At 41.4% G+C, this 22133-nt stretch overlaps 1 pseudogene, 1 gene segment (V, D, J or C) and 1 further gene, besides 4 other annotated features; all 3 read right to left on the bottom strand.

Moving 5' to 3' along the window:
- IGK (immunoglobulin kappa locus) overlaps positions 1-22133 on the bottom strand; it is a 1378008-nt gene that overhangs the window by 255267 nt on the left and 1100608 nt on the right.
- On the bottom strand, positions 10758-11233 carry IGKV1D-27 (immunoglobulin kappa variable 1D-27 (pseudogene); annotated as a pseudogene). Its single transcript is given in 2 exon segments — positions 10758-11054; positions 11179-11233. Coding segments are annotated over 2 exon segments (352 nt in total).
- Positions 11044-11054: a sequence feature (IGKV1D-27 leader sequence).
- Positions 11179-11233: a sequence feature (IGKV1D-27 leader sequence).
- On the bottom strand, positions 19355-20087 carry IGKV2D-28 (immunoglobulin kappa variable 2D-28). The segment is given in 2 exon segments: positions 19355-19664; positions 20039-20087. Coding segments are annotated over 2 exon segments (359 nt in total), but the record flags the coding sequence as incomplete, so codon positions are not given.
- Positions 19654-19664: a sequence feature (IGKV2D-28 leader sequence).
- Positions 20039-20087: a sequence feature (IGKV2D-28 leader sequence).

Here is a 22133-nt window from a genome sequence, read left to right as displayed (position 1 = left end):
GAAGCCAGGAAGAGCATGGCTGAGCCAGAAAGGGTGGAGCACATGAATCTCATGGAGATGAGCCATAAGGCAGGAAGTTGAGAATCAGAACAGCTGATTTAGAACAGACCAGTACCTCCTTATGGATCTGACACTGTGTATGGTCCAGTGGAATCTGCAATGAGGCTGTGAGTTGAGCAGCAAAGTCAGGGCAAGGCAAACTGTTCTTGGAGCCATGGACAACAGGAGAGTATTTCTTCAGGGCCAGTGATACAGGGGGCCTGAGAAGAGGGACTCAGGATGGAGCCCTCTGGGAGCTGCCTCAGCAATGCTGTCTGGACACTGATCATTTAATGAGAGGGACCCCTGGGCTTAGAGCCACACCACATCTTCCCACCTCCTTCAAGGGCTCCTCACCATTTCTACCTCACCCCAATTTCCTTCTTCTCTAAGAGGAGCAGCTGCTCAGACACTGATTCCCTGGAGGAAGCAGATGCTCAGCTGAGCAGAAGGGTTGACCCTGCATGGGTGTGTCACGTGTGTCCGTGTAAAGAGAGTCCACCAACAGGCTCTGTGTGAGCAACAAGGCTGTTTATTTCATCTGAGTGCAGGCGGGCTGGTCCGAAAAAGGAGTCAGCAAAGGGTGGTGGGATTATTATTAGCTCATATAGGTTTGGGATAGGCATACAAAGTACATTCTCAAAGGCGGGGAGAATATTACAAAGTACCTTTTTAAGGGCAGGGGACACTATATCGTATCAGTTAGGGTGGGGCAGGAAAAAATCACAATGGTGGAATGTCATCAGTTAAGGCTATTTTCGCTTATTTTGTGGATCTTCAGTTGTTTCAGGCCATCTGGATGGATACATGCAGGTCACAGGGGATGTGATGGCTTAGCTTGGGCTCAGAGGCCTGACAGGGTGGTGTATGTTTAGGGCCGTTCCACTGTATAGGGTCCCAGTGAGTGCGCTGCTCACAGAAGGAATATGCAACATCTCCTGGCTCCACATTGGTGATTGTGAGTATGAAATTCCTCCCAGACCCACTGCCACTGACGTGGGCTGGGACCCAGGAGCCCGGTTTGTCACCATATAGATCAGTGGTTGAGGAGATTGGTGTGGCTTCTGTTGGAAACCGTTCAAGTAGATGTCTCCATTCCTATGGATGAGATTGCGACTGGTCTTGCAGGAGACGGAGACCCTGTCTCCCACGGCCACAGACAGGAGGGATGGGGGCTGAGTCATCACAGTAGCCTGATGGGAAAGGGTGGAAAAACAATTGATCAGTCTGAATACAAGTCAAAAACAATGGTTGTGAATGAAAAAAAAGATACATCATATCTAGGTGTTCTTCAGGTTTTTAAGCCTCTGCCATCTGAATGAAAGGCTGAAATAAAAACTTTGGCCATTGATCTTCACTGTCTCACCCACTGGATAAGAGTGGCCACCACTGTTCTCATCCTGAAAATTACTTATATGTACAAAGAATCCTGTACCATGAATGCAGAGCACCAGGGGCAAGAGGATCCATCCCAACAAGACCATCCTGGGCAGAGGAATCATCCAGAAGTGTGTTTTCAGCCTAGATGAGCAGAATCAGATAACAGGTTCACTTTCACACCTTAGATGGAGTGGTCAAATAGCCCATGTATGTTTCTATGCAAAAGACCTTGAGTGCTAGGCATTCATCTCTGAACCTCAGTCAAAGCTTCCTATGAGAGAGAATGCCTCGCTGCGGCTCCCAGGCCGGCTGTATTCAGATGCCTGGGCATGGTCCAACCATGGGCTCAGGTTGAGCAGAATCATGATTTAACGATAAATATCCCAGGGGTCAGCTGACCTTCTGAAGTGTCAAACATGATATTAAAGGATCAATATGGGAAAGGAAAAATGTCACTAGGTTGTGATTTTTCATTTAGTTCAGAGAGCTATTTCTTCTGCTCATTTTTCTTTCCTGAATGGAGTCATAGATATAAATCTAACCAAATATACAATTTTCATTGTCCTCTTAATCATTGGCAAACTATATCTACACTTCTGGAGCATCCGGGAAGCTAGCCCATACCAGTGCTATCTTTGGAGCCAGGTGGTAACTGTGGATGTGAGCAAATGACAGTTAGATCTACAAGTCTCCAAGACCATGACCACTGGCCTGGGAGGACCTGCAGGGTTTGCATGTCCTCACACCTGGATGAAGAACATCTTGATCCTTGTCCTTTTGATGCCCTTCAATTACTAGGCCACACTCCAAAAACCTAGTCCTCACTCCTCTCCTTTGCTAGACAGACCCTCTCACTCACAGCTCTTCCTCATGGACATTTCCTGTGAATCATTTCTCCAGGCTTACACACACTCTGCATGTCACAGTATGTGACAGAGGGAACTGATGTTTAAACAATTACCCATTGATTAGGTTGTTCTGAGTCCTAAGTTTAATTGTCCTTCTACAATAGAGTCAGCTAGAAAAATAAGAAACGCGAAGAGGTGTAAAATTATTAGTGCGTGAAAATGGTAAGCTATGAACTGGGATGATGAAGTAATAATAGTAATAGTAATAATAATAATAATAATAATAATAATAGTAATTAATAATACCCAGAACCGGCCGGGACTCTGGGCCCTTGTTAATCCGAGATACCAGAGCCCTCTCTAGGATCGCTATTGCGCACGTGCCCCTTCTTGTGGTCAACTCCGCCAAGACACCTGGTGTTTTTTCCCGGTAGGTACTTGACAGTGTCATTCCTAGTGAATAAGGTAAGTCTTTTTTGCATATTCTCAAACACGCTTTCTTGTTTGTTTGCTTGGCTTGTTCATGATGCCTAAAACAATCATAAATGGTTTTCAGGCACTATCCAAGACTGTGGAAACATAAGCGAGTGGTGGGTAGCTTTCAGTTAGATGTTAATACCTATGAATTGGGATTTCCTCATGTCTGGTTTCCAAGTGTTGTGGAGGCCACACAATATGTTGCTGTCCAACGCTCTCTAGTTAGCAATAGAGTGACCGTAAGTTTATCAGACTTGAGGCCCACAGCGGCTCAGTCGGTGATTTCTTACTCCACTCTTTCGTTGTTCCCTCAGTCGGAATCTGTGGGCAGTTTCCACTATGTCTGTGCCTCTGGCCTCTCTCAGCTCCCCTGCAGTGCTGGGGGTCGAGGCTGATGGCTGCACAGAGAAAGGTCTTCGTATTATCAGCTCTGGCTAGAGCTCAAGTTCAGAGCAGGACAGTGCCCTCCAGATGATTATAGAGCAGAAAGACTGCCTCTTCTATCTTCTCTAAATGGAGTACATTCTAGATTTTTATGAAATATTTACATTCCAGTATTTATGGAATGATTTAAATTATTTTTCAAAACTGTATTGGAAGCTGTGTCTGAAGGCGAGGAGCAATGCTTTTTTTTTTTTTTTTTTTTTTTTTTTTGAAACGGCGTTTCCCTCTTGTTGCTCATGCTAATGGCTAGACTGCAATGGCATCGTCTTGACAGTCTGCAACCTCCGCCTCTGGGGTTCAAGCTATTCTCCTGCCTCAGCCTCCCAAATTGCTGGGATTACAGGCGGAGCAATGCTTTTGAAAATGGCTTTGCTCTCTGGTTCCACACAAGGCACTGAAGCCTGCGGAATTTAGGGCTTCACGTGGGTTCGAGGGTCCCAGGCTGCCACCTCATCACTCAGCCTCCTTTTCTTGCCCAGTGCTCTGTGTTCTTTCTCTGGTCAGGAAATTCTCACACATTTTGGTCTAAAATGGAAGGAGTGTTGCTTCTTTCACCTGAGGATCAATCAATTTACAATTTTTGAGACAATAATTTACACTTAATTAAATCAAATCACTTTCATCATATTTGTCTAGAAATGATTTTATTCTTTTTATTTATTACAAATTGCCTCATGGCCTGACCAAACTTCCAGTGGATCACTTGCAAGAGCAAATTTAACTGTCAAATTTACCGTTACATTCATCCATTGAGTTATTGGTTTGAATTACTTTATATTTGACATTTGTTTGATTTCTTTTTATAGTTTCTGGTTCTCTGCTAAAATTCTTGATCTTGTCATAGAATGCATTCAGCATATAATATACTATTGTCCCAATATCCGCAAATTATTTTGGTCCCTTTCTGTTGCCTGTTTTTTTTCTCTCCATTTTGTATGTTTGGGTATTGTTGATTGAAATCACACTATGTTTAATACACTTAATATCTATGTAGATTTAAACTGATACTTGCCCTACAACATTTTAGAAGCAATTTTGGGCTCTGGAATAATTTTCACACTCCAGAGAGGATTTACTTCTTATTCTGCCAGAATGAAATGCTAGGGCTGTACCAAGTTAATGCCATCAAAGGACTGCAGTACTTTGGGCCTGGGTATCAACACGGTGGTGCCTTGCTACTCCTGGTGCAACCTCCTCCCGGTATGTTTCCCTAGCAAGATTTCACCTCAAGACCTTGGTATGTGTCAGGATCCCTCCTTTTCTGCAGTCGTTCGGGACAGTTTTTCACCTGTGGCCATATGAGATTTTTTTAAAGCTCTGATGGACTCCGAGGCCCCTTGGCCCCTCCTTTCTTTCAGATTTTCAGGACTGGGCCTCTATTTCTGAGCCTGCTTATGTCTCAAGGGACACTGAAGGCACAAAACTAGTGCTCCCCTGTCTATGCTTCCCTGCTTTTCTTGTCTCCTTGAAGACCTGCTGGGTTGTAATGTTTAATGCCCCATCATGGAGGTAGATGGGCCGGTTTCCTAATTAATAATTATTAAGTTGAGGCCAAGAAAACTTGAGAGAGTGTTTATTGTTCCCACGAAGGATGCCTGTGTGGGGTGGGCACGAGCTGGTGCAGACCTGCCTGAAGAGGCAGAGTTTAGGCTTTTAGAGTTGGTAAGGGGAGAGAGTGAGAGAATGTTCTCCCTGTGAGCTGGAGGGTTGTGGGGAATTTCCTACCAGTGCTTATAGAGATATGGGCAGAGAAAAAAGGAGGAGGGGCTTGGAGGATGTCAGGGATAAAACATCAAAAGTAATCAGACTCTCAGACATGGTGATGCTCTAATGCCTTCAAACACGTTTTCATATTTTATTCAGCTTTTTTTAGGTGTACCCAGCAGGTTGGTTCCACATAAGCCATTCCACCATTTTACAGAAGTGGAAGTTGCAAAACAATTTTTAAATTATGAAATGGTTCAAATTTTAAAATATGGTGAGAAATATTATATATATAATTACCGGGTGGAGCAAAATAATGATAAATAATGTTATCAAATGTTTACTATTTATAAACATTTTAAAAACATCTATTCAACTCATAATACTGTATGATATAGTTATTCCTTTATTTTTTATTATTACAGATGGGAAAACCAAGCAAAGAAAGTTTAAGTAACGTCCTGAAAGTCACACAGCTGTTAAGTGGATGAGCCCAAATTCCCATCAAATGTGTATGGTTTTGGTTCCTGTCTTTCATCATGGGATAAAGTAGTATCCAAAGGCCCTTTCTGAGGGGTTCATTAGATTTCCCACTTAGATATCAGTCATTTTGACAAGAGAAACGAGTGGATTGGTGTCCTCTCGCTGTCCAGAGTTCTCACACCGTGACAGGCAAGCTCCTATGTTGTTGACAGTAACAATACGCTGCATCTTCAGCCTCCAGGCTGCTGATGGAGGGGATGAAATCAGTCCACCCACTGTCACTAATCCTGGCAAGGACAGCAAGGTGCAGGTCATAATTACTATAAATAATAAGATTCAGAACCTGACCTGGTTTTTGTTGGCTCCAATTCAGGCAGCTACAAATATCGTCACAGCTTCTCAGCTGATGGTGGCCTTTCAACTTCTCTCAGGAAGCTTTGTCTGGAAGTTTTGTAAGTTTGGGCACGATAATGTTCCCATTGACAACTGAAATGAAAAAAAAAATCACATGAAAAATGGTGATGTAATTGAGGTTAAATACATCACACTTCATGGTCTTCTCAGGTCACTCAAGTGTGTGAGTTCCTCGTGAGAAGTCACAATTCACAGATGCAAAAAAGCCCTCAGAACTCATCTTACAATGAGAAGAAAGGCTGTTTCCTTATCATGTGGGAGCCTCATAATTTCAGCTCCTAACTGTGAGCAAGGCAACTGTCTCAGACCAATTCCACTGAGTCAGGGTGAAGTCAGACAGGCGCACACACAGTAAGAATCGCAGGATACTAAACTGGATTCTGCCAATACCAGGCTGAGTCACTGCTCAGCCCTAACTGATCAAGCTGTTTTTGGAGACCAGAGCCTGAGTCAGCACAGTGATTACTGTGACATCTAATTCAGAAATAGAACACAAACACATCAAATATTTTTCTGAAAATATAAGTGTTATGAAATGATATTTCCTAAGCTATCAAATATCTTAAGAAATATTTCCTTTATTTCTAATGCTTGTCCTTACTTCATGATATGCACAATTTCCCCACTCCAACCAGTATGTATTCTATTTAGATCATAAGATACGATTAGTGGTTATGTTTATGTTTGCCACTCAATATCAGCAGTATAGTACTCCAAAATCTCAAATTGCTAGAACGGCATTGTATAAAATCTTTAAGTGAAGTGATAATCCACAAATAAACATGAATTTCAGATTTATAAAAAGAAATGAAAACACAAATGTCCTAGTAGAGCAGGATAAAATACACTTTTCTACACACAGAGTAAAGGGTAAAAATTATAAAGGGAAATATAGTTGCACATATAAGCAATTTTTAAAAATCAACTGCTATTGGCTGTGCAAACCTCAGTCCCATCAACTCTCTCACTGAAATATTTCTCAGGTTTATATCTCTATCCCCTCCAACATCTCGATAACCACAAGGAGCCTTAAGAATGATGTTGCTCATGTTCTAATCTCTCACTGTCTAGTTTGATAAGTTATGTTGACAACTGCACAATAAGAGCGATAAGATCAAAAGACTACTGAAGACATTTCAAATGGAAAAACTAAAAGTCAATATCTCTCATAAACATAGACAAACATTCAAAAAAAAAGGGAAGATTTACCTCTATCTCTCTCAGATAATCTGCCATGCCCAACTTGAATATATTTCAGAAGTGCAAGGTTATTATAACATTACATAATCAATCCATATAATGCATCATACTGACAGAATTAAGAACAATAACTTTCATTATCTCAATAGTAGCTGAAAATCACTTGAAAGAAGTCAACAGCTATTCACAATAAAACTCTCAGCAAGCCTGGGATAATGGAAAACATCTTATTCTGATAAAGCATCTACAAATGATCCATCTTTAGAATTACTGAGGTTTAAAATTATTGAGAAGTGGTACAGGCAATTCTACAGCAAACATCTTACTTAGTGATAAAATATTAAACATTTCACTTCTCAAATTATAAAAAATACTGAACCATCCACTATATGAAATCATAATGGAGGTCCTAAGACATGCAAAAATTCAAAACAAATAAACAAACAAAACCCATGGAGTATGGAAATGAATAAGCAAAACATTTGTATTTGCTGATAAACTTTGTACATAAGTTCTTAAAGAATCTAAAACTTAATCACTAGAAATAGGTCTCTGCATACAATGTGGATTAAAGGAGATATAAATAAATAGCATTTTCATGTCCATAGAACAGAAGATTTGATATTGTTAAGAGTTAATGGGTGCAGCACACCAACATGGCACATGTATACATATGTAACAAACCTGCACGTTGTGCACATGTACCCTAAAACTTAAAGTATAATAAAAAAAAAAGATTTCAGTTTTCTCCAATTTGATATATAGACTCAATGCAGTCCAATTAAAATCCTCAAAGGAATTTTTGAAATTGAAAAGGTGATTCTACAATTTACTTGGAAATTCAAAGGACGTAGAATAGCCAAGAAAATCTTAAGTCTAAAAATCTGGTATTATGTCTTCTGACTTTTTTTTTCTTTATAATAAAGCCACAGTAATTAAGACTGTACTGTAAGTACAGAGATAGACAAAGAGTCAAGAAAAATATTCTTTTTACTCAATCATGAGATTTTTAAACACAGGCAATAGAGTGAGGTATAGGTTTTCAATTGTTTTTTGTTTTGTTGTGTTTTGCTCTATTTTTGCAAGAAATGGTGAGGAGTTGTTGAGTATGAAAATAAAAATAAATAAAACAAGACATCAAAATACAATTCTTGATCCACCTCACCCCAGGCAAAAAACATGAATTAGAGATAGACTGTAGCCTATATGTGAGAGGTAAAATAACGATGCTTCTTCAAGAAAGCATAGGAGCATATCTTTAAGCCCTTTGGTGGTAAAAATTTATTAAACAGAGGACACATGTAAACACACAAAACAAACACAGGAGAAAAAAATGACAAGTAAAATGACAAATTAGATTACATTATAATTAAGAACTTCTAATCGTATCAATGTGTATGATTAATATAACATTACACACACAGACACTCACACACATGATTTGAACAGGAACTTCCCTAAAGATACGCAAACAGCCAATGAAAATAAATATATGAAAAGTGACTCAACATCATTACCTATTAAGGAAGTATAAATTTTAATCATGATACAACTTCAGATTTATCAGTACAGATGTTTTGTGCTGGATATGTATAGTGGAACTTTGACATAATTGACTCCATCTCAGATAAAGACTGCATTATATGTTTCATAGGGCAGCTTGCCAACAAGAATAAAATGTTTTGCCTACAAAATAAAAAAAATAAAGGCTGCATCCAACCAGATAAGGTCACAAGCAAGCACAGTCTTGCACTATGAGTTCTTACCAGAGGACTCTGTGACCATGAAAGTGCGGGCTGTCAGTATCTCAAAAGGGCCATCTTAATTCACAACCATCCCGTTGTCATTTGTGGTAAGAACTCCTCATCTGTCTAAGAAGGCTCTGACACATCAGAGACTCTTCCTTGCAAGGACCAAGGGACCTTCAGGCCAGACCAGGATTCTTTTTGTCTTCTTCACTACCCCTGGATTGATTTGATAACTCTTTCTCCTATTTTTTTTCTTTTGGTGTTAAATGTTGCATTGTGTAAACTTTAACTTATAATGTTTATGTATTGATTAAGAATACTATTATGTATGGTTTGCAATATTGACCGGCTTGTGCAATGGTTTTAGCCTGTGTGCCCGCAACACTGACAATTGAATGGCTCCTTGGGAGCTCCATGTAGCTTGCAGCTTCTGTGTTGGAAATAGCATCAGTAAAAGTCTGACATTGTGGAAAGACATAAACACACATGGGCCTGGTTAACTCTGACCTTGGAGTGCACATGACAGGGTAGATCTATGCAAACTTGACCCCAATGCCTGAGGAAGCTGAAAGGCTGAAGAAAGAGGCCGACACATCCAGTTTCTCAGAAAGAAACATTTAATAGAGACTTAAAAACAGAAGCCGTGTCTGTGTCTCTGACAGTAGGCAGATAAGATGGTCAATCACTTGCCATGACCCCTCTCAAATAGGGCTTGTATACCATAGGAGACCAGTGGTTCAGAAAGGATGTGTACGACAATCAAAGAATGATTACATCAAGGTTGTTTAAGGGCAGGATTTATGCTAAGTACTTGCTCTTAAATAAGATAAAATAGATAAACTGAAAATCTTAGAGACCGTCCCAGAACTCAGGTTAATCAGAAGTCAGACATGGAAAATTAGCATCCAAGATGGGGTTGCTTTGGCCTCCACCCTAGATATAATAAAAGTTTGACAGTACTGAGTACTGAAAAAGATTGACAGCAATTGAGACTTTTATGACGTGGTTGGTTTCACGTAAATATGTTCAGTATTTCAGTAAACTATTGTCAATGTTTACTAAGACAAAATCTATGCTAACTTTATAACTCAACACTTCCATTCTTAGGAATATTCCCAAGAGAAATGAGTGCATAAGTTCACAAAAGACAAGCACAAGAATGTTCTTAAGGTTTTTACCAGTAATATTCTTAAACCAAAAACAAATCATTAGTTGAAAAATGAATATATTTTGGCATATTCATGGAAAATTGTGCCTCAATAAAAAGGCACAAATTACTGCCAGAGAAACAACACAGATGAAACTCAAAAATATTTTGATCAAAATAAGCAAAACGTCAAAGAGTAAATACTGTATGATTGAAATTATATAAAGCTTAAGTATAGGAAAAATTAATAAATATTGAAATAAAATACAGCGGAAGCCTAGGATGATGATAGATGGAACACGGAATTGACAGGGAAGTAACCTGGGGAGATATTTGAGATGCTGGGAAGAGTGTGGATCTTGATCTGGGTAGTGTTGGAAGAAGGTGGGATCGGAGCATAAATGTTTACAGTATACATATAGGTGCAATACGTTTATCTGATATATTGTTGGCTGAACATACTTATATGTGTATGTACTTATGTCTGATCTTTGAAAGGTCATAATTTAGACTCTAATCCCCTGTATCAAAAAAAAATTCTTTAAAAATATGTAGAGTACCTTCTCCTTTTCTGTATAAGTCTGACTTTTGCTGCAATCTAGACCTCCTAGGTTTAATTTTCTTTGTCCTTTATTAATAATAATCAGGAGAGATACTTGCATATCAGCTGATGGAGCTGAGGATAAAGAGAGATAGAATGTAAATGTGCCTCCCTGACCCCTTCTACCAAAACTTCCCAGTGAGCTTCAAACCTTGGCTGCATCTGAGAACTGCTGTCAGCAGACGGCGGCACCAGGAGGAGCAGCTGGGGCAGCCCAGACTCACACATCTACTTCCCTCCATGGTTTATGTTCAGGCTTGTATCACAGTGGGAGGGGCACTGTTATACTTTTGACAGTAATAAGTTGCAACATCTTCAGGCTGCAGGCTGCTGATGGTGAGAGTGAAATCTGTCCCAGATCCACTGCCACTGAACCGAGATGGGACCCCCTGATTGCAAAGCGGATGCAGCATAGATCAGGAGCTTAGGAACTTTCCCTGGTTTCTGCTGATACCAGGCTAAATAATTGCTAATGCCCTGACTCGCCCGGCAAGTGATGGTGACTCTGTCTCCTACAGATGCAGACAGGGAGGATGGAGACTGGGTCATCTGGATGTCACATCTGGTATCTGATATTAGGAACATAAAAACACATATCCACATGATTAGTAATGTTCTAAGAAGAATTTCCTGAAGTGCCAGGCATTAATGGCTACACTGGCTGAATAAAATTTTTGTTGTTTCCCTCCTTACCTGGGAGCCAGAGCAGCAGGAGTCCCAGGAGCTGAGCGGGGGCCCTCATGTCCATGCTGTGTCCGGACTGAGAGAGACTTCTGCACAGGATGTCACCAGCCTATTGATAAATGTTCAGGGCAGTAGGCGTTGCTCTGTGGGACATGCAAATCTGCACAGCTGCAAAGATGACTTATCTCAATAACACTGCACAGGCCCAGTGCCTCCCAGGTGTCCAAAGTCTGCAGAGCATGTGTTTCTCCCTGCAGGCTACAGGAAAGAATCAGCCTACTGTCCTATGTGTGGAGTGTTCTTTTGCTCTCTTCATGTTTCATGACATGCTTCTCTTGCTAGCTTTCTATTTATGATAAGGTCTGCTAGGGAAAAACATCTCTAGAAACTCAAGAAATTTTAGAAGTTTCCTGCATTTGATACAGATGAGTACTATTAAGGTCAGAGAGACTTCCTTTTTGGTCCAATTCCCTGGAAACACCAGTGCTGTAAATTGTCAGTGCTACCAACAATGGATGCATTAAGGTATAATCATGAATGATAGATAGATAGATAGATAGATAGATAGATAGATAGATAGATAGATAGATTTGCTCATTAAAAAAGAAATAAAAAACTTAAAAAAACCCTAATACTTGAAAATAATGCCACAGCAAGGAAGGGTCCTGCCACTGGCTATCTGGCATAGCTAATCTCCCATCTCCAGACACATAATTGTTATCCTCCATATCTGAATGTTCTTTCCTACCTCTTTCAGCTGGGCCAGCCAACATGATAAATTTTCTCCCTTTACTTCTGAAAGTTCTCAGCTATATTCTAGCTCTGTATGCCATCCTACAGTCTCATGCTAGATATTTCCCTGTGCTCCCTGAATTTTATTTATGCCTTTTATTTCTCTTATCCAAGCCATTCCCCTTCAGAAGCTGAGGTGTCCTCTAAACCAAGTTGTCACCCTCTATCCCTGTGACTACTCTGTTTCTTATACCTGCACATTTCCAAATCACCAATCTCTTCCAGCTCCTAAGAGAAAACAGTTCTTAATGACTGGGTTTAGGGCACTTGATCCGAGCAGGTTCAGAAAGAAAACTATGCAACAAAAAGCCAGGGAATTGTATGAGATACTGAGCCTACACAATATAGAAAGTGCACCCGTGTTGTGGGGTGTAGAGGAAAGCCTACCTGTGCGTTGAAGCTATAGTTAGCAGAGACAAGTATCCCTACCTGGGTGTGCAGGATGCAAGACCCCTCATCCCACTTATGCAGGACATCACAGCTGGATGAGGATGAGCAGGACAGTCACAAGGGTGGAGGACACTGTTGCTAATGTCAGAGCCCCGGGGGGGAAAGGGCAGCTATGCAGGGATGCAAAGTTCACGGTGGACTGGCACGGAGTATCAAGACTAATGAAGGTGTGTGAGGCATAAGAGGGAAGTTGTCCGCAAGGAAAGTTTAGGTGACAGGGACAGTGGGAGATTGGTGTCACACAAAATGTTTGATCATTTAAGTAAATATGGTATGAATAATTACAGCCAAGATTCTCAGTTTGGAAAAAAAGCTACAAATATAAAAAAGGAGAAACTGTAGATGTGGATTGTAATTAGAGACATTAATGTAGATTCACTAATTTTTGGAGAGTTTTATACGGATATAGATTAAAACATATGCAGATAGACAGGTAATTTTTCCTAGAAGCAGTAACACACAAGTCTCAATAAACACCTTGAGTGCTCAAATCTTGTTTTATTGAATATCAATCTCTATTAAAAAGAATAATTACTGGAAAAATATCTGATCTCAGGTTTAGAGCAGAAAAAATATAAGATGAGCCTGCATTTCTTGTGTCAGAAACTAAGGAAGTGCTCAGAAAATGATGGGGTAAGAGAAAAAGTTATTAGGAGCTAGCTTGAATGGGGCTCCCCTTGGACAAAATAGGGGAATGTTGACTCTGAAAATAAATAATGATAGTAACATATTTGTTTCAGTATGTGCTGTTATAACAGAATATTTGAAACTGGGTAATTTATCTTTTCAGTTAGAAATCTATTTCTCACAGTTCTGGAGGTGGGAAAGTCAAATACCAAGGTGCAGTTATCTGGCAAGGTCCTTCTGGCTGCATCTCCATGGTGGAAAGGCAAGACAGAGTGAGTAAGAGCAAGAAGGGGTCAAACTTGTTTTTATAAGTAACGCACTCTCACTATAACAAACTCACCCCCATCATGATGACATTAACCATTCATGAGGGCAAAGCTCTAGTGACCTAATTACCTCTTAAAGTTTCCACTTCTCAACATGGCTGCATTGGGGAGTAAATTTCTAACAAATGAACTGAGGAGGATACATTCAAATCACAGCATTCCACCCTACTCTCTCCAGTTCATGTCCTTTTCACATGAAAAATACATTCATTTTATCCCAATAGCACCTAAAGTCTCAATTTGGTCCAGCATCAACTCAAAAGTCCAAAGTCCAGAGCCTCATCTGAATCACATATGGGTGAGATTCGAGGCACTATTTATCCCAGGCAAATTAATTCCAGCTATAAGCCTGTGAATTATCAAGTTACATGCTTCCAAAATACAATTAGCCCTCCCTACCCATGGGTTTTACATCCACAGATTCAACAACCATGGATTGAAAATAGAGTATTCAGCAGATGCAGAATCCACAGATGCAGAGGGTATACTTTTCATATTTGCAGGTTCTTCAGAGCTGACTGCAGGACTTGAATGTCCACAAATTATGGTATTTGTGGAGGACCCTGGAACCAATTCTCCATGGAAACTGAGGGACAACTGTACAATGGTGGGGCAGGCATAAGATAAACATTCTCATTCCAAAAAAGAGAGATAGGTAAAAAGAAAGGTTTAACTGGTCCCAAGTAAGCCCAAAACCCAACAGGAAAAACATTAAGTCTTAAAGGTGGAGAATAATCTTTGACTTCAAATCTCATATCTGGGGCAATCTGGGGTGGGAGTTGGTTTACCAATGCCTCAGGCAGCCCCACCTCTATGGTTTTACTGGGCTCACTTCACCCAGAAGCCTTCATGGGTTGGAGTCTTGTGCCTGCATCTTTCCCAGGCTGGAGTTGCATGCTGCTGGCCCTACAATTCTGTGGTCTCCCAGGCTGCCTCACTTTCATGGCTCTACTAGATATTGCCCTAGCAGGGATTTTCTGTGGAGGCTTTCTCCCTGCTACAAGTCTCTGCCTGGGATCCAGTATGTCCATAGTCTTTCCCAAGACTCAATCTGGCATTCTCCTTGCTGGGAATCCAGAGCCACTCTCCGGCTATCCTTTTTGGAATTCAGCCCTAAGCCCCTGGAAGCTTTTCTTTTAAACCCTCCAAACACAACCTCTGACAGGAATCTGGCTGGAACAGTCGGCATCTTCAGCAAAAACAACTGAGAAGCAGGGGAACCCTGCAAACACCACATTAGTGTAGAGGAAATGCATACAATCCCTAGATTTCATGTTTTCTCCAACTGTTTTTTCCAGTTTCTTAACCATGATTCTGTTTCTATGATCTTGAAGGATGGAGACATTAAGAAGAACAAGGAGCTGTTTTTTTTTTTTTTTTTTTTTTTTTTTGAGACGGAGTCTCGCTCTGTCGCCCAGGCTGGAGTGCAGTGGCGCGATCTCGGCTCACTGCAAGCTCCGCCTCCCGGGTTCACGCCATTCTCCTGCCTCAGCCTCCCGAGTAGCTGGGACTACAGGCGCCCGCTACCACGCCCGGCTAATTTTTTTGTATTTTTAGTAGAGACGGGGTTTCACCGTGTTAGCCAGGATGGTCTCGATCTCCTGACCTCGTGATCCGCCCGCCTCGGCCTCCCAAAGTGCTGGGATTACAGGCGTGAGCCACCGCGCCCGGCCAAGGAGCTGTTTTATGCTTAAGATATAAAAAGAGAAATGGAGACAGGAAGAGAGCAGAATTTATACATTCTTCAAAGTGGTTTGGATTTCTCTAACCATGGGCATAGAATGACAAAGATGTTAGGAGAAGACATCACTTTTTCTGATTTCCTGTTTTTTTGTGTCTTAGACTCCCATAAACACAAATAAGAACCCAGTCAGTCTCTTTCCCTTGAATATTTTTTCTGGATAAGTTAAAATAATTTTAGAAGCAATTGCAAGAAATGATAGCAATAGCTGAAGCAGAGATAAGAATTCTGAAGTTTGGAACATTTGAGGTTGGTGCAGCAACTTGGTGACAGCAAAAGGACCCAGGTTTTTGCTACATTTCTTCTTTGCACTTCAGTTTTTCAGTCTTGGGTTCAAAGCCTCATGATCTTAGGAGGGCTGCAGTGCCTCCAAGTATCAATGTGCACGCATACCTGTTTCAGGAAAAAAAATGCAGGACAAAGCTCTTCACCTTCTATGCCTTTATGAGGGATCAAAGTCCTTCCCTGAAGTGCTGCTCACCTCTGACATCTCATTGTGGAGCTCATGTGCCCCACTCCCTGCTCCTCTTCATTGTCCTTGCCATGTGCAGCAGGGCGAAGCTGCTCCCTTATACGCCCAAGGAGAGGGGATGGCTGCTGTGTAGGTGCCAAGAGTTTTGCAATGTTGTATTTCACTATGTGTCTAAGTTAAGTTGCATGGGAAAGAGAAAGTTCAAGGGCCTCTTTATGTGGTGGGATTGGAGTGGGCCAGACCCTGAGGATGACAATGAAGTCAAATTTCTAGTTTTTCAGTTGCCAATGCTGGCTTCACTAGTTAAGGAAATGTGGCCTGTGCAATTAAGACCAGGACAGACTTTCAGGTACTGGAATAAATGGGGGAGTTATTTGGCATAGGGTCCTCAGTCCAGGACTAATGTTTGCATTACCCAAGCTGCCGGTCACTGGCCCTGGTCTGTGGCAGTAGCAGCTTCTCTCCTGAACCATGGGGCTGAGGACCTGGGGGGAACCACAGGCCCTATCCACGGGGCTGCATGGAATGGGGCTTCAGAGAAGGAAACTGCTCACACACCCACGGGTGCCACACCAAGCCCAGAGCCCGAGGTGAGGATGAAAGTCTCTGAGACCAGAGCCTTAGGGCTGGGCCTGGGCTCCTGGGGCTGGCTGTCCTCAGCTCTGTCCTCACTGGTCCTGAGACACCAGGACCCTGTTGGAGCCAAAGAGGGAGAGTCAGCAAATGTCCACAGACTTTACTCAGCGAGCCTCTGTTCTGCTTAGAAATAAAAGGAACACATGCTACAAAAATAATGAATATATGGACATACTATGTAAACTTTTAAATTAAATAGATATAATATTATGGATATAAATTATTGATGTATCTGTATATAATATGTATCTATATTATACATCTACATAATATGTATATTTATATAGAAATAGATATAACTGTTGGTATAAGGTATGATTTCAAATTTGATAAATTGAGCATGAACATTTAAAACCAGCAATAGCACACCATAAACATGATCCTTCCTGACTTCCTGAAGGTCAGGAAGCTCAGGACCCTTCCCCATGTCCCTGTTGAGCAGGACAGAGAGCCCCCAAGACCCAAGGGGGGTGTGGGGAACACAATCAGCAGGTGGCTGGGAGATGGGCAGTGGGTCTGGGCCCTGATTGGAGAGAAGTTTTGTTCCCAGATCTCCGAGTAGACAGTTCCTCCCCTGGGGGCTCTTCTCAGACACAGCAGCACATGTGACTCAGTGGCTGTGTAGTCACAGGGTCACAGGACAAAACCCTTCCACTTGGCAATTGGCAGCTTCTCCTCTGACTAGAGTGATGTGGGATCTCTCTGCCCAGCTATCATGGCTCATGTGGCTGCTGACATCCTCTTCACAAAACGAGATGCCATGAAGGCAGCTCAGCTGCTGATGGCCCGAGTGAACTCTGTCCAAGCCCATCACCCCTGACCCAACAGGCATTGTGTAGAGTAGGCAGCAGGAGCCAGCAGAAGCTCAGAGCCAGCTGTGGCTTCTGCTGGTGCCAGGCTAGAACATTGTTGAGACTATGGCTGGCCCTGCAGGTGACAGTGACCCTCTCTACTAGTACACATGAAGAGGGGCTAGAGACTGTCCATCTAAATGTGGAATAAACATGAACACCCCAAATATTAATACCAAGCATGTAGTTTGTTCAGTTTGGTTAAATTCTATTCAGAAAATAAAACAGGCTAATTAACTGATTGTCAAGGAAACATTCCTGTTTATTGCAAACAAACTGAAGATGAAGCCTGAACCCTCCCTTCTTCCTCAAGAGAGAGTCAGAACAGCAGGAGGAATAGGAGCAAAGCTGGGTCCCCACGTCCATGAGATATTTCTTGATGCTGATCCTGCTCAGAGAGGGTGGGGATAGTGAATGAGCCTTCTTTCACTGCAACACCAAAATACTCTGGGTGGGTGGCTTGAACCATAGACATTTATTTTCACATTTCTGATGGCTGGGAAGTCCAACATCAAGGTCCAGCAGGGTTCAATTTCTGGTAAAGACCTTCTTCCTGGTTTGTAGATGCTACCTTCTCACCATGCTTTCATATGGTCTTTCCATATGAGTGTGGGAGTTAGAGAGAGAGGAAAAAGAGAGATCTCTGGATCTTATGAGAACCACTAATCCTATTGGATCAGGGCCCCACCCTTATAACTTCCATTATATTCTTATAGGTCCTATCTCCTACAGCCACGTTGGAGATTAGACCTTCAACATGAATGTGGGAACACAATTTAGACCACAGCAGGTGGACACAGGTAAGGCAGTAGGGAGGGAAAGGATATGCTTTCAGCCTCCAAGCACAGAGCAGGTTCCCCACAACTCAGCACACTGGCAGCTCATCCCAGATGTCCCAGGTCACACATGAGACACCGTTCTAGATTTAGGGACTTCTCATTGATAATCGGACACTATCAGTCTTATTTTCCCAGTGTTTCTAAGACCTTGGTGTTCTTTATTGTGGAGTGTGTTTACACCCAGAGACAGGTTATTGACATAGCAATTTATGGGATTTTTAATTTTGTTATAGTGAAAATTACTTAATAAATTTATCAGAAATAATAAACTAAAATTAATATATTGTATGAAAATGAGATTAACTGAATATCCTAAAAGGAGCCTGAGAGGATAAAAAACCATATTCTTTTCAGAAGAGGACAATTAAAGTCATATGACTTTTATAACAAAGACATTTTAGTAGAAATTATCAAATGATAAATTCAAATAGGCTGCCACAAACATAACTATATACTCAAAAAATTATTTTCCAAAATAATTTTACATTATCATATAAGAGCAAATAACTGCCAGGTGCAGTGGCTCACGCCTATAATCCCAGCACTTTGGAAGGCTAAGGCAGGTGGATCGCTTCAGATCAGGAGTTCGACACCACCCTGGCCAACATGGTGAAACCCTGTCTCTACTAAAAATACAAAAATTAGCCTGGAATGGTGGTGGGTGCCTGTAATCCCAGCTGCTCCGGAGGCTGAGGCATGAGAATCTCTTGAACCCAGGAGGCAGTTTGCAGTGAGCCGAGATCATGTCACTGCGCTCTAGCCTGGGTGACAGAGAGAGACTCCATCTGAAAACACAACACAACAAAACAAACAAACAAAACAAAGTGGGTTTATCAGCAGATCCACTAAATGGAAAATTTCTCCAATGCGTGCTTAAAGTAAAAGAACATTTATCCCTGATGGGAAACTCTAGATTTCTTTGGTCTTTAGAAGAAAACAGCTTTCTCTCTAGTCGTTCCACTTCATGCTGTCGAGGATGGGCATGGGGGCAAGTGACTCTGAGGAAGGAGGAAGGCTGTGTCTGAGGGTGGTCGTGTCTCCTGCCCATCTGAGTGACCTCTTGGAGAAGAGCCACCGACACCACCAAAGCCACCCACCTGCCTCTGCACTGTCAGGCAACAGACACAGAAACCATGTCACATTTAGTCCACCATATTTTGAGGCTTCTTTGTAACAGCCTTAATTGTACTCTGATTCTCCTTGGTATTTCATCTCAGTTTTTGGAATCATTTATTTTTCACCTAATGGGGCCTTAACATGTGGGACTGAAGTACAGCTGAGGCTATCATGAGCCAGAGTCCTCAGCAGCAACCTCTGCCCTGAGGTCTCCAACAGCCTCCTCTTCTGCAGACTCAGAGACCCTGCTGAGCTGCTCTCCAGACAAGCAGCACATGTGAGCAACTGGGCAACCCCAGGAGGAGGTTTCTGTTAGGGGTTGTACCACTGTGGGAGGAGTTTGTAGAGCTTGCATGCAGTAATAAACCCCAACATCCTCAGCCTCCACTCTGCTGATTTTCAGTGTAAAATCTGTGCCTGATCCACTGCCACTGAACCTGTCAGGGACCCCGGAGGCCCGATTAGAACCCAAATAGATCAGGAGCTGTGGAGACTGCCCTGGCTTCTGCAGGTACCAATCCAAATAGTTGTATCCATTACTATGCAGGAGGCTCTGACTAGACCTGCAGGAGATGGAGGCCGGCTCTCCAGGGGTGACGGGCAGGGAGAGTGGAGACTGAGTCATCACAATATCCCCACTGGATCCTGAAATAATGAATTGCAAAGTTATGTACAAACCTAATGAGCAATTTTCATAATTTATCTTATGTCATTTATTTAAACTTAATTTTAAAAAATACTGATTTATGCCATAAAAATACACATTCTAAAATGAATTCAATTTTTGTAAAGTATAAGAGACCTTTATATTTTGAAAATCTTAATCGGAGCACCAGACGTCATATTTCTTATGAGGCTTCTAATTATTCACAGAGCAAAATATCAAGTTCCCTTTTCTACAGCACAGATTATACTCCTCTAACACAGGGTTAGACTAAACATGGGATCATGGGATGCTGTGGAGCCCTAGAGCTCACCCTCCCACCCTATTCTCCTTCCTCATCTCCTTCTTTTCTTACCAGAGACCCAGAGCATTAGCAGCCCCAGGAGCTGAGCAGGGAGCCTCATTGTGAGAAGGTGAACTGAGGAGTCCTGATCAGTCAAGGCACAGTTACAGCTGAGCTTTTATCTCAGACTCACAAGGGAAGGTCCTCCCTGTGGGACAATATGCAAATCCCCTGGTGCATGCAGTGGTGTGGAAAGAGTCAATGGGGCAGGCGGGCAGGGGATATGTCTCTCCTGTGAGCAATGTGATATAAAATGGGAGGAAGGATCTGACTGTGACAGTTTGAATCTTGGGTAGGTCCCATTGTGTAGGATATGCAACTCTAGGAAAGCATAACAACCCTAACAATGTAGAGATATGTCTAGAATGAATATGGATGAATGCCATTCTTCTTGGCTCCCTCCCAGCTAATCTAAAAAAGGAAACGTTACCCTTTCCTACAAACACTGATGAGCAGACAGCCTACAAATAAAACATAGTCTTGAGCCAGTTCAAGAGTGGTCTGGTATCTGCGGTTTCCAGGATAACTGTTCAAGAATGTTCATAGCAAGTGTTGGAATCTACCCTCCCCTGGCACCTGGTGAGTGAGCCCCATAAGAGCGCTCTGTCCAAGGGCCTCATAGGGAAAATAATGTGGGTCTCTATATTTAGATTCAAGAGCCCAGTGCAGGTAAGAGGAAAGTGGGAAACAATTTATTCCTCAGGCAGTGAATATAAAATTCCTGGTGACCAATTGTTCAATCTGGTATATATTCCATCATAATCATCTCACATATGCTAGATTAACCTGAAGGATTTATTAAGGGAAGACTTTTCTAGGATAATTATATAGAATGAACAAAAACTAACTTTGCACTATGTTTTTCTGAATGGTGTTAACAAAAGCTCTTCCCACAGTCTTCCTCATCATGTGGAATGAGGTCCTATCAGGACTTCCAGTTTTTCGTCAACTACCAAGTGAGATCTGAGTGTCCCCTGGGCCTGTAAGTGGTGCAGCCACAGCCATGAGTTCACAATTTGAGTGGAAATTCTCTATGTAAGAAGAGCACGAACTGGATCCACAGCTTTACTGTCTCATGGTCACCATTACCCATGACTGGCATTTTCCTGAGCTTTCATGTAAAGACGATCACAGCTCAGAGATGTCAATCTACCACACAGCTGATCATGAAAACAGGGAAACAATCCAACTATTTGTTTGTCAATGATATGCTCAAGATTGAGTTGAACAGCTCTTGAAAGATTGTGCCTACATCAGATCCCTTCACAAGGACACTCACTGTCCTGGAGAGAAAACATCTGGGGAGAGCCAACGTAATAGATTGCAGTACTATGTAATCTCGGGTAATTTAACCCAAAGTCATGCTTACTTGGTAAAAAACACAAACAAATGCAGTTCTAAGTATGATCCCACAAGAAAGCTTGGTCTGCATATCTTTTGGGAAATCTACCAAAATAAGACTTTTTAACAAGATTGGAAAAAGTAATTGAGTAAAAATGATCTTAAATGTCGAACTCCATGTTAATATTCTGAGTTGATGACCACAAATTATCATGAGGAGGTAGGAGTACAATAAAAGTCTTATATTTCAGTCTTTAAAATATTTATTATTTTCTTTTATTTAATTTTGTAAGTTTTGTGTATTTAACTTTTTTATCCCATGATGTTGACCAATTCAATGCAGGTTCTTAGTCTTGAAAATTTCAGACTCTTAATTAATCATGCTAGTGAAAGGATTCAGAAATATTGGTAGGTGGAAAGAAAAAATAATAAATGCAAACTAAACCTAACATACTAACAAAAAAGAACACTATTGAATGCATTATGTCTGGTTTTAAAGGATTACTCTGAAAGTATGTTAAATGAAGGATCAGTTCTATCTACTATCTAATATGGATGCTTGAATTGAGAGAAAATGACAAATGATAAAAATCTGTCGTGCTTTCTTTTGCAAGGCAATTCAAGAATATGTTATTTTTACAAAATATTCTTTAATATTTTTGAATTTCAGAGAGTATTGCTATTCGCTATGAAAATTAACAACAAAGCTTTAAGGAGTCTGCCATTGTATTTGGTAATTTACTTCAGAATCTGTTGCCCTTACGTA

This window comes from Homo sapiens, chromosome 2 (assembly GCF_000001405.40).
Source record: "Homo sapiens chromosome 2, GRCh38.p14 Primary Assembly".
In the NCBI taxonomy this organism is placed as follows: Eukaryota; Metazoa; Chordata; class Mammalia; order Primates; family Hominidae; genus Homo; species Homo sapiens.
This window is presented reverse-complemented; position numbering and strand designations above follow the sequence as displayed.